Source organism: Homo sapiens, chromosome 10, assembly GCF_000001405.40.
Source record: "Homo sapiens chromosome 10, GRCh38.p14 Primary Assembly".
Lineage (NCBI taxonomy): Eukaryota > Metazoa > Chordata > Mammalia > Primates > Hominidae > Homo > Homo sapiens.
This window is the reverse complement of record NC_000010.11, coordinates 15130867-15148207: the sequence shown is the minus strand read 5'-3', so window position 1 is coordinate 15148207 and position 17341 is coordinate 15130867. Positions and strand designations below refer to the sequence as shown.

At 43.7% G+C, this 17341-nt stretch overlaps 1 protein-coding gene and 1 long non-coding RNA gene across 10 annotated transcripts in view; one reads left to right on the top strand and one right to left on the bottom strand.

Annotated features, from left to right (window-relative positions):
- The window catches only part of NMT2 (N-myristoyltransferase 2), a 62994-nt gene that overhangs the window by 20486 nt on the left and 25167 nt on the right, over nucleotides 1-17341 (top strand). For 4 of the 8 annotated variants that reach the window (XM_017016949.3, XM_017016951.3, NM_001308295.2 and 1 more), the window contains 6 exons: nucleotides 6651-6786; nucleotides 7179-7221; nucleotides 12790-12934; nucleotides 14845-14963; nucleotides 15064-15155; nucleotides 15275-15391. In XM_017016949.3, coding sequence (XP_016872438.1) covers nucleotides 6651-6786; nucleotides 7179-7221; nucleotides 12790-12934; nucleotides 14845-14963; nucleotides 15064-15155; nucleotides 15275-15391 — 652 coding nt within the window. The remainder of the gene's footprint in view (nucleotides 1-6650; nucleotides 6787-7178; nucleotides 7222-12789; nucleotides 12935-14844; nucleotides 14964-15063; nucleotides 15156-15274; nucleotides 15392-17341) is intronic. The other 4 variants (XM_047426019.1, XM_005252642.6, XM_006717539.5 and 1 more) reach the window with 1 other exon arrangement.
- On the bottom strand, nucleotides 7079-12790 carry LOC107984210 (uncharacterized). Of its 2 annotated transcripts, XR_002957064.2 has the most exons (3): nucleotides 12607-12790; nucleotides 8356-11568; nucleotides 7639-7669 (listed from the first exon to the last, which is right to left on the bottom strand). It is a non-coding gene; the product is annotated as an uncharacterized LOC107984210 (long non-coding RNA). The 2 variants fall into 2 exon arrangements; XR_007062067.1 differs by having other exon boundaries at nucleotides 7079-7669; nucleotides 8356-12790.

Below are 17341 nucleotides of genomic sequence, written 5' to 3'. Positions count from 1 at the left end.
AAACATCCTTTTACAGCTACAGAAACTGGAGCACAGAGAGGTTAAGTAATAAACTCAAAGTCACACAGCTGAGAACTTGTGGAGTCAGGATTCAAAGCCAGGTAGTCAAACTCTACTTAATGCCTGCAGTCCTGGCCAGAATATAATGTTGTCTTTCTATACCATCCTAGAGATAAAATGTGAAAGAGAAAAGACCTTTGTATATATTCTGGCTGGTAATACTTTCTCATTTGTGTTATAAATGTCTAACCTTATTCTGTAACATAAAAATTTTTTTATAATCACTTTACCATGAAATGTTTAACTTTGGTGTACTCAAAAGTTATTATCTCTTATGGTTTGTACTTTTGAGTCCTCGTTTGAGTAATTGTTTCCTTCACGGACATTATGAAGTTATCATTTAATTCTTTCACTTACTCATTTGACAGATGTTTACTTGAGCATCTACTAAATGCCAGACACTGTTCTAGGCACTAGAAACATGTGGAGTAAATGGACATCACCACCTTCACTTTTAAGGTTTTGTTTTCCAAGTTTGGGTCTTTCACCCATTTGGAATTTGTTTTTTTTTTCATGTTGTGGGATGCAGCAAACTAATTTTATATTTCTGCATATAGGAATTCAGTTTTTCTCATGCTATGTATTAAAAATTTTTTTTTCACTACTGATTTATGATGTGATCTTTATTATATATCAAGTTTCTTTACTATCATGGGTTGTTACTGATATGTCTGTTGCATTTCATGGACCTGTTTATCTGTTCTTCAGTTCCGTTGTAGTTTAATAATGTTTTCCTTACAAAGGTATTGTGATTATTATACACTAGTTCAAAAATGCATGAAAATACGAATGAGAAGATTACAATCAGCTATATTCCCACCATTTTCCATGCAGGAACTTGGAAATTCAGGGGGGAAATATTTGTAAAATAATTAGTCTCAAACCACTAATGTTTCTTGTATTTCACAGTAGAGAGGAGCTAAGTTATCCCTCTGGTGGTACCTGATAAAATTTAAAATTACTTTTTATCCTTGGAATTCACATACCAAAAATTGAGCTCCTTTGATGTCACTTTTTTTTTTTTTTTTTTTTTTTTTTTTTTTTTTTTTTTTGAGAGCGAGAGGATCTTTCGCTGTTGCCCAGCTGGAATGGAGTGGTGCAAACATAGCTTACTGCAACCTTGACCTCCTGGGCTCAGGTGATCCTCCCACCCCAGCCTCCCAGGTAGCTGGGACTACAGGCACATGTCACCACATCTGGCTAATTTTAATTTTTTTGTAGAGATGGGGGTCTTTCTGTGTTGATCAGCCTGGTCTTGAACTCCTGGGATCAAGCAATCCTCCCTCTTTGGCCTCCCAAAGTGCTGGGATTACAGGCGTGAGCCGCTGCACCCAGCCCGATGTCACTCTTAAGATTGATGTGTTAGTTGTATGAGACTGGGCTGCTGTAATCAACAGACCCTAACATGGGATTGAACAACACAGTGGAAGTTCCCTTCTCATTCATGGACCAGCCCTAGGCACATGTTCTGACGATGGTGAGGGAGTTCTCCTTCATTCTGTCATCCAGGGTCGAGACTGCGCCATCGTGTGGCTCTGCCATCCTTGGGGCTCTCACCTATGTCTGCATCCAGACAGCACAAAGGACAGGAAGGACATGGAGAAGCCACCCATAGGGGTTTCTGGGCAGCAGGAAGTGACACACATCACTTCCGCTGGCTGGAACTCAGTCAGTGGCCACACCTGGCTACAAGGCAGCTGGCAAGTGCTGTCCAGCTGTGAGTCCAGAGAGAGAAACGATGGGTTTTGTGGATGTCATCCTGGACCACCTGTAAAGCGTTTACATGGCTCTGTTACATTGGCCCTCCCATTAAGTCTTGTCTGTAGTTTCCATGAATACTTCTTTGAAGAGATTTGCTGGATGTGCTCATTAAATTTTTGCCATTTCCATGGCTGAGAAGGAATGTGTTCGTTTCTACTTGAGGTCTGAATGTGCCACTGATTCTCTCTGGATGGAAGCTGAAGTGTGCGGGCTTTCAGAGGTGGCAAAACTGAGAGCCTTTTCTTTGTGGACCTTTCAAGTGAAACCCTGGGGAAGAGGGAGGTGGGACTTGAGTTCTTGAAGACCGAGGAATCTTTTTAAAGGGCCACATGATATGCAGGGCTGAATTTCCATGACTTGGTAATCAGCCTTGAGTACTGGGAGTCTGAATTAGTCTTTCTTCATTGGATTTCCAGGGAGAGTCTTCTCTTGGGCCTGGATTTGCCTTCAGTATCTGGAAGCCCGCTTAGCACCTCTCCCACCCAGGCACGGGGGCATCTCTTTCTGTCATGCGTCTCCCTCCAGAGTACCTGGAGTCCTGTGGGACGCAGACCCCTGGCTAAGCAGCCACAGCTGACTCCTGATCTGCTCTGGCCATAACATCATCCTGTCACCCCCAGGGACAGGAGTGTCACCTGTCAACACTTCTGTTTCATTTGATATAATTCACATACCATACCATTCACTCATTTAAAGCATACCATTCAGGCCAGACTTGGTGGCTCACACCTCTAATCCCAGCACTTTGGGAGGCTGAGGCGGGTGGATCACTTGAGGTCAGGAGTTTGAGACTGTCCTGGCCAACGTAGCGAAACCCCGTCTTTACTAAAAATATAAAAATTAGCTGGACGTGGTGGCACGTGCCTGTAATCCCAGATACTTGGGAGACTGAGGCAGGAGAATCACTTGAACACAGGAGGCAGAGGTTGCAGTGAGCTAAGATGGCACCACTGCACTCCAGCCTGGGCGACAAAGTGAGACTCTGTCTCAAATACTAAAAACCAAAAATAAATAAAGTATACCATTCAGCAGCTTTTAGCTTATTCAGAGTTGTGCACCCATCAGTACAATCAATTTTAGAACATTTCCATCACTCCCAAAATAAACCCACATCCCTTAATCATGCCCAAGCCCTCCATCTTCCCAGCCCCTGACCACCACTAATCTAGTTCTGTTTCTGTGGATTTGCTTGTCAGGACGTTTTATAGACATGGAATTATACAATACATGGTCCTTGGCAACTAGTGTCTTTCACTTAGTGTAGCGTTTTCAAGATGCATCCATTCATGTTGCTGTTTTTATCGACTCTTTGTTTTTTTTATTGCTGAATAATCCATCCTATAGATGGACCACATTTCCTGTCTTCATTCATAAGAGGATGGTCATTTGGGTTGTTTCCAGTTTTGGGCTGTTATGAATGATGCTGCTATGAGTATTTGTGAACAAGTTCCTGTGTGGACATAAGTTTTCATTTCTCTTGGTTATGTACTTACGAGTGTAATGGCTAGGGTATACAGGGAATCTGTGTTTAGTGTTTTGAGGAACTGTCAGCTGTTTTTCAAAGCCGCTGCCCCATTTTACATTCCCATCAACAGTGTATGAGGGTTCCAGCGTCTCTCCATCCTCCCCAGCACTGGCTCTTTCTTTTTTTTTTTTGAGACGGAGTCTCGCTCTGTCGCCCAGGCTGGAGTGCAGTGGTGCAATCTCGGCTCACTGCAAGCTCCGCTTCCCGGGTTCACGCCATTCTCCTGCCTCAGCCTCCTGAGTAGCTGGGACTACAGGCGCCCGCCACCACGCCCAGCAAATTTTTTGTATTTTTAGTAGAGACGCAGTTTCACCATGTTAGTCAGGATGGTCTCGATCTCCTGATCTCATGATCTACCCGCCTCAGCCTCCCAAAGTGCTGGGATTACAGGCGTGAGCCACTGCACCTGGCCTGGCTTTTTCTTTTTGATTATAATTATCCTCATGGGTATCAAGCGGTGCACTGGTCAGCTCTTATTCTCAAAGTCTCGTTTCCTTCATGGCCTCAGGAAATGGAAAAGTAGCTCTTCCTCACTGAAGGGCTGGGAAGCTCTGCCTCTCATCATTGTATAAATGCTATCAGATATGTCTGGGAGTTTGGAGGCTGGGATGACCAACTTAGTGCCCATTTCTGTAGCTCCCTGTCAATTTAAAGTTGAGATGAAAGAGAGAAAAAGAAAAACTCTTGCTGAACTAGAGTAAACAAAAATGGTGACGCTTTCTCCATTATGCCAAAATAAGAATATAAATTTTAGCAACACCGTTTGGAAGAAAAAAAAGTTTTGATGTGTAGCATCAATTAACTCCCAAAATGGAGTTTTGGAAACCTCATTGAACAGGCATTGTAAGTTATAGAATAAGTGATATAAACTTACTTAAGGATTTTTTGGTGAAATAGTCTGGTATTTTAATTTTTTAAAATGTCTCCAGATCCCCTCAAGTTTCCATGAGTTTATCTGTTTTAGAGACTATTATTATTGTTGTTGTGTTGTTGTTGTAGTTGTTTTTGAGACAGGGTCTCACTCTGTTGCCCAGGCTGGAGTGCAGTGGCATGATCATGGCTCACTGCAGCCTCCCAGGCTCAAGTGATCCTCCCACCTTAGCCTCCCAAGTAGCTGGCACCACAGGTGCACACCACCATGCCCAGCTAATTTTTTACTTTTTATGGGGACAGGGTCTCACTATATTGCTCAGGCTGGTCTCAAGAGATCCTTCTAGGCTCAAGCGATCTTCCCGCCTTGGACCCCCAAAGTGCTGGGATTATAGGCGTGAGCCACCATGCCTGGCTGAGCAAATTACTAACTGACACTCAGGACAAATATATTTTCATCCAGTTGGATAGGCATCTACTTCAAAGCGTCCTTCCCAGTCACTGCCTTTTATTCTGTATCTCTCTGTAACCAAGCTTCTTGGAAATTTGGAGATATTTTAAAGTGGAAGTATTATACAGAAAAGCTGTGAGGTCCCAGGCTCCTAGTGGTTTCTGGAAAGCCATAACCAGTAGCAGTTAGAATACATGGTAGAAGTGGGAGAGGGATAATCCCCTAGGTTGTGAAGTCACAGGCATGTCCACCATGATTTTGGTCCCTCCCACCCAGCCTGTGGCCCCAAGATAATGCTGAACACATAGTAAATGTTCAATAATTACTTGATAGTAAGTTGCAGTAGGCTTTACCATTGAGGTTGAAACAATGGTAGCTTTCAGAAGTATTTTATGGCCTGGGAATATGTGATGGCACCACCTCTAGAGCCAGACTTATCCACTCATTCATTCCACAAGCATTTGTATTAGTATGTACTGGTGTGAGGCATTGGAGACCTTAGGGACGCAATTAAGAATAGACTTCTTAAGTAGCACATACAAATGCATACATAAATCACACTATAACAGTACAACGGATTCACCAATTCACAGGGTGCCAGCAATAGGAACACCGGGAGAGGAAAGCCTAAAATAGTCCTACTCCCAAACCAGAGAATATACAAAACTGAACGTATCTGCAGCATATTTCTAGCTCATGTACCTGGCTGTGATATGTTTGTTTAATCCCAATTGCTAGTCAGATATTGATGAGTGTCCTTGGCCACCAGGTGATTTTAAATATAAACATCATGATAGCACAAATTTGATTCTATTGATGAAAATAAACTGCTTGTTGTGAGGTGGCAAAACCTTACTATTTTTAAACCACTAGGGTACCATTTGACAAAGTCTTAATGTATCTTCCAAAATAAGCACTGTTTTCTATTTTAGAATTGGAGTGGAAATATGAATCTATAGCTCAAGTGCTCAGTTCTTTTTTCTTTTTCTCCAGCTCTGTTGCCCAGGCCAGAGTGCAGTGGCACAATCTTGGCTCACTGCAACCTCCGTCTCCCAGGCTGAAGCTATCTTCCCACCTCAGCCTCCTGAGTAGCTGGGACTACAAGTGCGTGCCACTGTACCTGGCTAATTTTTTTTTTTCCTTTTGGTAGAGGCTGGGTTTCCCCTTATTGCCCAGGCTGGTCTTGAACTCCTGGGCTCAAGCTATCCACCTGCCTCAGCCTCCCAAAGTGCTGGGATTACAGGCATGAGCCACTGTGCCCAACAGCGTGCTTAGTTCTTAAACAGTTTCTCTCACTATTGCACATGCCTTTCATATTTGGATGTCACAGAGGAATTATCCATTTTAAATGGAAAAGTTCATTACTTTAAAACATGAATAACCAGTGGAAAGAAAAGTTCCTTTATAACCTAGATGCTAGGTAACAAAACTAGCACTTTGTGTTTTGTTTGTGATTGTTTGTGACAGGGTCTCTCTCTGTAGTTAGACACTTAAAGCTTTTCATTGTTAGCCCCCCTAGTAAAAATCTTTATCAGGGAACATTTCCTCCTCTGCAAAAAAGTGGTTTGTTTAGTTCTGTTGCTTCAAGATTAGTGTTCTGTCGTACCCAAGAGATCTTGATAATGGAGTTTTTCATATCATGTATCTCTCCTCCCGAAAGCTGACTTAAACGTAGATTAGGAGAGTAGTGATAACCGTGGAAACTATTTTACTTCAGTTATAAAATGTGGTTTATCTCTGCAATCTTCCTGCTTCGTGACTTCTAAGCACCTGCAGGATGACTGAGCGGGGGCTGGTATTCTTCTGCATTGCCTGTTACCGTCTTCACTCCACTACCTTTTATTCCTCACCTACATCCTAACACAGTTATTTTCTACTGCATGTAACAGCTGTGTTTTTTGAAATGATTAATTGTATGCAATTCAATTTCATTTAATGATTTTTGTTTGTTGGTTGGTTTCACCATCTTTGCATTTCCTGCAGAAGTCCTGGAGGGTATTTGGGAGCCAAAAAGAAAAAGAAGAAACAGAAGAGAAAAAAGGAGAAACCAAATTCCGGAGGCACCAAGTCAGACTCGGCATCTGATTCCCAGGAGATTAAAATTCAGCAGCCTTCGAAAGTGAGAGCTCTGTTTTATTTTTTCCTCTGTGTGGTTTCTCGTGCATGAGTGGGTTTACGCAGTTTAGCGCGCTGCTGCATCAGATGTGTAGGGACTTTGTTGTGACTGTGTGTTGAATGCCACTAGTAACTGGAAGCTCTTGACAGCCTCCTTAAAATGGACTTTGGCACCCAAATAACGAAGGGGTACACTGTGCTTTTGTGTGTGTGTGGATACCTGCTGTGTTTTTCCCTTTTCTCAGTGAATTTGTATTTAGATTGTCGTTCTAGAAGAAAGTCTCAGTGTGAGCTTGTTAGGTTTTTTTGAAATTACACTTTAATATTTGATTACTTTTCGTTCAGAAGATATTCACATTGTAATTTTTCTGGGTGTCTGTCTAATTACCTGAATAGCACAACACCATCTGGCAGCAGATTTCAGCGGGAGCAGCCATGGGTAAGTCTCTCGTTGACTTTGAATTAAACCAGTTTGCAGCGGTCGTTCTTCATTCTAATGCCAAGGGTGGGAAATAGTTCCTGACATTCTCCTAGTTTAAACCAAACCAGAAGTTGTCCAGCTGGGCCCCGTGTTGGCAGATGGTGGCCAAGAAGAGGGTTGATTGTACTGCGTGGGTGTCTGGTGGCACAGATGGCAGCCATCCCTGTCTGTGGAGCCAACCCCCAGGCACCCTGTATGCTGGGCCTCTGGGAAACACAAAGCCCTCTTGATGCAAGAAACTCACAGTGAAAAGGGTAGAACCAGCCAGGCACGGTGGCTCACGCCTGTAGTCCCAGCACTTTGGGAGGCCGAGGTGGGAGGATCCATTGAGCCCAGGAGTTCAAGGCTGCAGTGAGTTATGATCACACCACTGCACTTCATCCTGGACAACAGTGAGAGACCCTGGCTGAAAAAAATAAAAAAAGAAAAAGAAAGAAAAGAAAGAAAAGGGGTAGAATTAGAAATATTACAAAATAGAGATGATTTTGATGATCGTACCTACAAATAAATTATTGTGAATAGGCTGGGCACGATGGCTCATGCCTGTAGTCCCAGCACTTTGGGAGGCCAAGGCAGGCGGATCCCTTGAGCCCAGGAGTTCAAGACCAGCCTGGGCAACATGGCAAAACCCTGTCTCTACTAAAAATACAAAAAGTTAGTTAGGCACGGTGGCATGCACCTGTAGTCCTAGCTACTTGGGAGGCTGAGGTGGGAGGATAGCTTGAGCCTGGGAGGTGGAGGTTGCAGTGAGCCAAGATCACGCCACTGCACTGCAGCCTGGCGACAGAGACCATGTCAATCAATCAATCAGTCAATCAATGTGAGTAGCATGTGGTATTGTGGAAACAGCTCAAGGGGTGATGTCTGAGACCTTGAGCTTGGTCTCTGCCCCCTTGCTCACTAGTTGTGTGCCTTTGCCTGGGTACTGCACTTCCTTCAGCCCAGTTCCTTCTCTTCTCTCTAACTCGCAGTTCGATCTTGAGGTTCCAGTTGGAGCATTTTTATTGAAGAGTTTTTACATCCTAAAACAGTGCATATATATATATATATATATATATATATATATATATATATATATATAGTAGTTGTTACCATTCTACAAGCTTTGTGGATTTCCTTTTTTCTTATGCAGAGTTTCTGTTGTGTTCCATGAAGTGAGACTTGCAGGTAGTTTTGATGTTGTCACCTGTTTTACACAAAAGAACCAGGAATCACTGAGAAGGAAAATTACTTGCCCCAATTTTTCCCTGACTGACTGCAGGGTGAGAAGAAAATGGAATCTTCTTCCCTAGCTTTTCAACTTGGTTCTCGGGTAATAAATATGCTACCCACTAGATACAGCTTTCCAAGGTAACTCATAGAGGATACCACCATAAGCTTGCAAAACACTCTTCCCGTTTCTAAATGTCGCTTCATCAGATAAACGTGGCATCCCTGACCTGCAGCGTGGACATCTCCTGTTGCTTTCAGCATCACCATTGGTCTCTGCCCATCCCTTCCACCTCTAGTGACTGTGAGCCTTTCCCCTCTCTCTGGTCACTTATGAGAAACTAGAGCCAAGCCAGGCAGTGGCGAACTCTTGGCATTATATGGTAGGTGTATTGGTCAGGGTTCTCTAGAGGGACAGAACTAATGGGATGGATGGATGGATAGATAGATAGATAGATAGATAGATAGATAGATAGATAGATAGAGGGGAGTTTATTAAGTATTAATTCACATGATCATAAGGTCCCACAATAGGCCATCTGCAGTCTGAGGAGCAAGGAGAGCCAGTCTGAGTTCCAAAACTGAAGAACTTGGAGCCTGATGTTCGAGGGCAGGAAGCATCCAGTATGGGAGAAAGATGGAGGCTGGGAGGCTAGGCCAGTCTCTCTTTTCACATTTTTCTGCCTGCTTGTATCCTAGCTGCACTGGCAGCTGATTAGATTGTGCCCACCCAGATTAAGGGTGGGTCTGCATTTCCCAGCCCACTGACTCAAACGTTAATCTCCTTTGGCAACACCCTCACAGACACACCCAGGACCAATACTTTGTATCCTTCAATCCAATCAAGTTGACACTCAGTAGTAACCATCACAGTAGGGAATTTCTTTTCTTAATTTGGAGGAAGTCAGTATTGTCTTAAGATGGGCTTTTTTCTGCTGCATTTTTAAAATCTGGGGCTCTTTCCCTTTAAGCTTATGCCAACTCTAGATAGCACTGTAAATTACAGTGGACTGCATTGCAGAATATTCTGGTCTACATACAAGAACCAAAATAAAAATGATATTTGGATTCTTATAAACTTCTTAGTGTTATAAAACTTGGACATTTTTTCCAAGGTACTATTAAATTTGGAAAACAATGGGTAAAGAGTATAGTTGCTGGTTAGTATGCCACAGAAAGCATGTGTGGAAGAAAAAGAGAATATACCTGCCTCTTATATAGGAGTGGAATCGTGGGAAGTTAATGTCGGGTAGATATTCATCTCACCTTGCCTGATGCACACTCATTCTTCCCAGGTAGTGCTACTATGGAAGGTGAATGGACAGGCATGAGAAATGATCATAGCTGAGTTTCCCTTACTGCTTTGTCCCTGTGGATTTGGAAATTGTGTTTATTTGAATCTACTTTCAGAAAGCATTTAAATAGAGCCGTATGTGGTTGTTCATGCCTGTAATCACCACATTTTGGGAGGCCAAGGCGGGCAGATCACTTGATGTCAGGAGTTCAAGACCAGGCTGGCCGACATGGTGAAACCCTGTCTCTACTAAAAATACAAAAATTAGCCAGGCGTGGTGGCACAAGCCTGTAATCCCAGCTACTCAGGAAACTGAGGCAGGAGAATCACTTGAACCCAGGAGGCGGAGGTCACAGTGAGCCATGATCATGCCATTGCATTCCAGCCTGGGCGACAGAGTGAGACTCTGCCTCAAAATGAAAAAAAAAAAAAAAAAAGAAGAAGAAGAAGAAAGAAAGCATTTAAATAGTGAACATTGGGATATCAATGTTTCGCAAAGGGACATTTCATGTAGAGGTGTGCTGGTCAACCCATGAGCTAATTAGGTAGGGAATAAATCACTCTGAAGTCTTCTTCATGGAGTTGGTCATTTTGGTCATTGGGTCATGTGGAACAAAGATGCTGATTCATGTCTGTTGCAAAATAGTTTGAGTTTGATATATTACTGTTAGAAGATTTAACTCAGAAACCAGGAAAGAAATCAAGGAACAAAAAATTAAATCAAGAAAGAAAAAGTACCATGACAAATTCATTATAGTCATTGTAGTTCTATTTTTATAAGACTGGGCTCTACTTTGCCATTTTAAGCTAAACTGATGCACAGTTAAGCATTATTAGTTGAAATATGCTGTGATCTCAATTCCTATTTAAATTGTAAGGTCTTCTAATAGATGGTGTTGTTGGAGTTCAGATACACATGAATTTCATTTTGCTAGAAATTTGCTCCTTTTAATGTTGGGGACTTAAAAGACACCCAAGGAAAAGAAGTCATCCAAAGATATAATAATGAGAACCGGAAAAGTATTTTGTTAAATTTGTATGTGTCATTAAGATAGGACCTTTATGATTTTGATGTTAAACAAATGTAAGATAAACAGCTTACAAAAACTGTGGCCATCTTGGATTGTGCTGTGAGACTTCCAAGCAGAGACAAAAAGACTTTCACCTGCCTCCAGCTGGACTTCAGAACTTCGTTTCCTTAGGGTTCTTGACAGTGTTTGTATGAAACAAACCCTGTTCTGTGCTGTGTACGATGAGTAAGCTTCCCAAGTTAAAATTATTGCTCCACACCACAGATTTCAGATTCCAAGTGGAACAGAAGTCCAAAGTTGCTGTTTATAAACTTCTAAGGGTCGATTGTACCTTTCAATGGTGTCCACCCTGTGTTGACATACAGCAAAACCGAAGGGCTCTTGAAACTTCTAACCACTTTCTGAATTACAGCGAAGAATATTCTTTGCATGGTATCAAAGTTCTACAATGTCTCAGTAATTTTACATATTGAAAAAAGTCATTGATTTCCATATTCAGTCCTCTGCGCTGTCTTCTCATTTCAAGTAGTCTCATGTTCCATGTATTATTACGTTATTTGAGGAATTAAAAAAAAAAAAAAAAGAACTGGGGAATCTCCAAGAGCTGGCGGGAATATTGGCTTTGAGAAAGGAACCTTAGAATTCAAACGTAATGTTTTACCTAAAAAGGAGTCCAGTTTCCAACACTTGGGCTGGGAACGACAGGCTATGGTTGCCCAGGATCTGAAGTACAGAGGAAATTGCTTGTCCTTCTGGTGGGAGAGTTTGTCTCTAGAGGATCAGGAGGATCAGGAGGGTCAGGAGAAGGGCAGGGTGTGGCCGGGAGGAAGGGGCATGGTTAGAGATTTCTTTTCTTGATCATTTTCATCCCAGTTCAGCACTGAGTTCAGATTTCCCTTCCTTCCTTCCTTCCTTCCATCTGTCCTTCCTTCCTCCTTTCCTCCCTCTCTCCCTCCCTCCTCCCCCTGTCCCTCTCCTTCCTCCTTCCTCCCTCTCCCTCTCTGTCTCTCCCCCCTACCTTCCTTCCTTCCTTCCTCCCTCGCTCCCTCCCTCCTTTTTTCTTTTCTTTTCTTTCTCTCTGTCTCTCTCCCTTTCTCTTTCTCTCTCCTTCTCTCTCTCTCCCTCCTTTCCCTTCCCTTCCCTTCCCTTTCCCTTCCCTTCCCTTCCTTTCCCTTTCCCTTTCCCTTTCCTGACAGAGTCTTGCTCTTGTCACCCAGGCTGGAGTGCAATGGCGCGATCTCAGCTCACTGCAACCTCCACCTCCCAGGTTCAAGCGATTCTCCCTCCTCAGCCTCCCGAGTAGCTGGGATTACCTGCCATCATGCCTGGCTAATTTTTGTATTGTTGTAAAGACAAGGTTTCACCGTGTTGGCCAGGCTGGTCTCTTAACTCCTGACCTCACGTGATCTGCCCACCTCGGCCTCCCAAAGTGCTGGGATTATAGGCGTGAGACACCACTGCCGATCCTCTCTCTTTCTTTCTCTCTCTCTTTCTCTTTCTTTGTTTTCTCTCTCTCTCTTCTTTCCCTCCCCTCCCCTTCCCTTCCCTTCTCTGCTGTGTTTCCATTCTAGAAGTTCTTTCCTTCATCCCCTCGTTGCTCCTGCAGAGCATTTACTCTGACAGTGCCCCCCACCCAAGGCTCGTGGCTGCCTGGCTGTTGGATGACAGTAATGCATGCACTGCACGTCTCCCCCAGAGGAGTAATGCCGGGGACCATTTGTAGATGGATGGGAAACTGAAGCAAAGCGTGCTTCAATTTAGATTCCCCAAACTGCCAGAGCCCCAATAAAACTAGACAACTGTTGTTACCTTTAACAGAGGGTTTGCTTCTATTTTCATGTGTAACACACAAGCCCATGGCCTTGACTGGGCTTGGAGGAGGATTGTTAGTGTTTAGGTATTGTAGTCTCTGAGGCAGATGCACGTGCGTCTGCTCAAGTTTAACATCAGCAGCCGCTCTCTCATATTCTGTGTCTGTCTTTGCTGTCGTAGAATCCCAGTGTTCCAATGCAGAAGTTGCAGGATATCCAGAGAGCAATGGAGCTGCTATCCGCATGCCAGGGCCCAGCCAGGAACATTGATGAGGCTGCAAAGCACAGATACCAGTTTTGGGACACACAACCGGTACCAAAACTAGGTAAGTTTTTCTGCTTTTCTCTTTTTTTCCCCACAAACAAAGCTGGATGAACAACAACAACAACAACAACAACAACAACAAAACACAAAGAGTGTTAACTTCACATGTATCATTTATTTCATACCACAGATTGGAAATCTATGCAAGACTAATATTTTTCTTCTGAAAATATAAATATTAGATAGTGACATTGGCTTTTGATAACCATTATTTTAGTCCAATTTCTATCCCAATAAAAACATCCAATTTCCCCACACTTGAAACATTACTAGTATTATTATTATTTTTGAGATAGGGTCTCACTCTATCACCCAGGCTGGAGTGCAGTGGCATGATCATAGCTCACTGCAGCCTCCACCTCCTGGGCTCAAGTGATCCATCCTCCCATGTCAGCCTCCCATGTATCTGGGACCACAAGTGCACACCACCACACCTGGCTAATTTTTGTATTTTTTTGTAAAGACGCTGTTTCAGTATGTTGCTTGGGCTGGTCTCGAACTCCTGGGCTCAAGTGATCCACCTGCCTTGGCCTCCCAAAGTGCTGGGTTACAGGTGTGAGCCACCGCACCTAGCCCATTAGAGTATTAAAAATGTATATAAGGTTCTGTGATGGAAGGACCAGGCCCTGAAGGTCCCTCATGGAGCAGGTGTCTGTTGAGTGTCTGTTATTAAATGCCAGGCATAGTCCAGGGCACACACCTGGAAACAGTGGTGGAAAAGTAGGACAAAAGGTGGCCAGGCTGGGGAGGAGCGGCCACACTGAGGTAGAGAAAGGCTTTAGTTAAGCAACAGATGCTGGGAGAAAGTGACGTGTGATGCGTAAGCTTCTGTCGGGAATTCCAAGGGGCCCGTCCCTTGAGGACCAGAGGGCCTCAAGCCTAAGGAAGGCACCAGGAAGGCCCTGAGCTGAGGCCTGCCCCGGTCATCATGGCCAGAGCACTGGGAGCAGGGGGCAGGGAGGGTGTGGAGAGGGGCCGAGGCAGGCAGCAGCCATGGGGAAGAGCCTGGGTTTTAGTCCTACCATGTTGGGAAGCTCTGCAGAGAAGGACTTGGAAAACTCTTCTTGGTGGAAATCACTAGAAATTGTGATGGCCTGAACTACGCTGCTAGCAGTTTAGATGGGGAGAAGTAACCAGCCTTGAAATTATTTTTAGGTTTTGCTGGGAGGGGCAGAGGTCACCGCAGCCCTTTCCTCTCCCAGTTTGTGGAAATGCAGTAAAAAGAACACACCTCCCAAGGCTGTTGAATGAAACCTACATTGCTTATGACAGTGTGTAAGATAAGGCTGCATTGTAGGCCTTGAGACTCGGAATCACTGTTGTTTTGTAATGTCATCTTTGTCACTGGATGACAAAGGATTTCTCCTTTCATTTAATTGGCAAAATAGGCCAGCTGTGGTGGCTCACACCTACAATCCCAGCACTTTGGGAGGCTGAGGTGGGAGGATCACTTGAACCCAGGAGTTTGAGATCAGCTTGGGCAACATAATGAGACTCCGTCTCTACAAAAAAAATTTACAATTAGCCGGGCACTGTGTTGTACAACTCTAGTCCCAGCTACCTGGGAGGCTGAGGAGAGAGGATCGCTTGAGCCCAGGAGTTGAAGGCTTCAGTGAGCCATGATTGCACCACTGCACTCCAGCCTTGGCGACAGAGTGAGACCCCGTCTCAAAAGAAAAAAGAAAAGAAAAATAATTGGTGAAACAGCAATGATTTCACACCACTGCCTAGCTTTCCTGTTTCAGTCCAGAGGCGCTTGATATAACAGCATCTTTTTAAAGATTATCTGAAACCCGAGGGCCCTAAGTCAGATTTTGCTTATGTCACTGACCACTTTGGATGGTTAGAATACTTTGTCATTTAATATTCTCGCTTTTTGCCTTTCTTTTTTCTCTTTCTCTCCCTGTTCAGATGAAGTCATAACATCTCATGGTGCAATTGAACCAGATAAAGACAACGTACGCCAAGAACCGTATTCTTTGCCACAGGGTTTTATGTGGGACACTTTAGACTTGAGTGATGCCGAAGTGGTGAGTGAGTAAAAACCTCTTAAATTCAACTCCTGCATTCACACATTGCTTCTAAGTTGATTCTGAGCACCATGGATAGGACACTTGTTTTATCTTATAGCTCAAGGAGTTATACACGTTGTTAAATGAGAATTACGTAGAAGATGATGACAATATGTTCCGATTTGACTATTCACCCGAGTTCCTGTTGTGGTAAGTCTCATCGATCACAGATGTCGTGGATAGGCGCTGCTGACTTGGGGACTCCTGCGTCTGTTCCTGTGTTCTTGGACAATAACTGGTGCCTGTTTTCTTGTCTACCGTGACCTCAGGGCTCTGCGTCCACCAGGCTGGCTCCTGCAGTGGCACTGTGGGGTCAGAGTGTCTTCAAATAAAAAACTGGTCGGGTTCATAAGTGCCATCCCAGCAAACATTCGGATTTATGACAGGTACATGTTTAAGCTCGTCCATGCGGTTTTTATATGTTTATTTTCTAAGAATTACAATTAGATTAGGCCTTTAAAAGTTACTGAATGCAGGCCAAGCGCAGTGGCTCACACCTCTAATCCCAGCACTTTGGGAGGCTGAGGCAGATAGATCACCTGAGCTCAGGAGTTTAAGACCAGCCTGGTCAACATGGGTGAAACCCCATCTCTACTAAAAATACAAAATTAGTTGGGCGTGGTGGTAGGCACCTGTAATCCCACCTACTCAGGAGGCTGAGGCAGGAGAATTGCTTGAACCCAGGAGGCGGAGGTTGCAGTGAGCCGAGATTGCGCCACTGCACTCCATCCTGGGCAACATGAGCGAAACTCCATCTCAAAAAAAATAAAAATAAAAATAAAAATGACTGAATGCAAGCTGTCCGGTGATCAGGGAGGTTGTGTATGTGTGGAGGCAGAGGCTTTATGGAAACTCTCTGATTGGTTTTGCTGTGAACCTAAAACTGTTTTAAAATATAAATTTATTAAGTAGTAAAGAAAAAAAAACGGACTGTGAATAAAAATAAAGGACAATGGTTTCTTTTTCTCTTTTTCTCTCTCTGCCTCTCAATCTCATACATGCTCACACATATATGTATCAGAAAAAACGAAGCCTTGGCCAGGCACAGTGGCTCACACCTGTAATTCCAGGACTTTGGTCGGGGCCGAGGCTGGCAGATCACTTGAGGTCAGGAGTTCGAGACCAGCCTGGCCAACATGGCGAAACCCCATCTCTACTAAAAATACAAAAATTAGCCAGCATAGTGGCACGTGCCTGTAATCCTAGCTATTTGGGAGGCTGAGGCACGAGAATCACTTGAACCCAGGAGGAAGAGATTGCAGTGAGCCAAGATTATACCACTGCACTCCAGCATGGGTGACAGAGCAAGACTTCATCTCAAAAAAAAAAAATTACTTAAAAATTTTTTAGGAGAGATAAAGCTTTCTCTCCATAGGATACATTGCACTTTTAGTTTGGATCTCCAGCCCGGAAAGTCAAAGATCCAGCTATGAAAGTCAAAGATGTCATATATAATTGGTCTCTTTACTTGTCAGTGTATTAGGTTAGCTTATTTACTGTGAAAAGCATTTGATCTCAAGGAATATTTTGTGCCAAATGAAGTGTGTACCTGGAAACAGAACCAGGAACAGGATTTGAAGATCTAGGAGGTTTACTGTAGTTCAGAGCGCACCAGCTCTGGTCTGCTCAAAGCCCCTCTCAGGGGTCCCAGGGGTTTGTATCACACTCCAAAGCAACATCTTATCAGATTCTGCACCAGGATGACTCAGTTATTACCATAATTTAGGAAAAACAGATCTAGAAACTTAAAGACGGGCAGGTCGTAGTGATTCATGCTTGTAATCCTAGCACTGGGAGGCTGAGATGGGAGGATTGCTTGAGGCCAGGAGGTCGAGACCAGCCTGGTCAACATAGCGAGACCTCATCTCAAAAAAGGAAAAAAAAAAAAAAGGAAAGAAACGTAAAGAGCCATAGCTGATCCATTTTCTAAACTGAAAACGTATAATGGACCAAAGTCCCAAAATGTATTTAGAACAAGAGGGTTGGAGCCTCCGTGCGTTTTACAATCATTTTGGCAGGGAGATATGGGGAATAGTGTTTCCGTCTGAATTTGTGAAATGTCTAAGTGATAGAATATTTTTGTTAAATATTGTGTTAAAGAATGGCTTTCAGGCCAGGTGCGGTGGGTGGTTCACGCCTATAATCCCAGCACTTTGGGAGATCGAGGCAGGTAGATCATGAGGTCAGGAATGCGAGACCAGCGTAGCCAACATGGTGAAACCCTGTCTTTACTAAAAATACAAAAATGAGCTGGGCATGGTGGCGTGCACCTGTAATTCCAGCTACTTAGGAGGCTGACGCAGGAGAATCGTTTGAACCCAGGAGTAAGAGGTTAC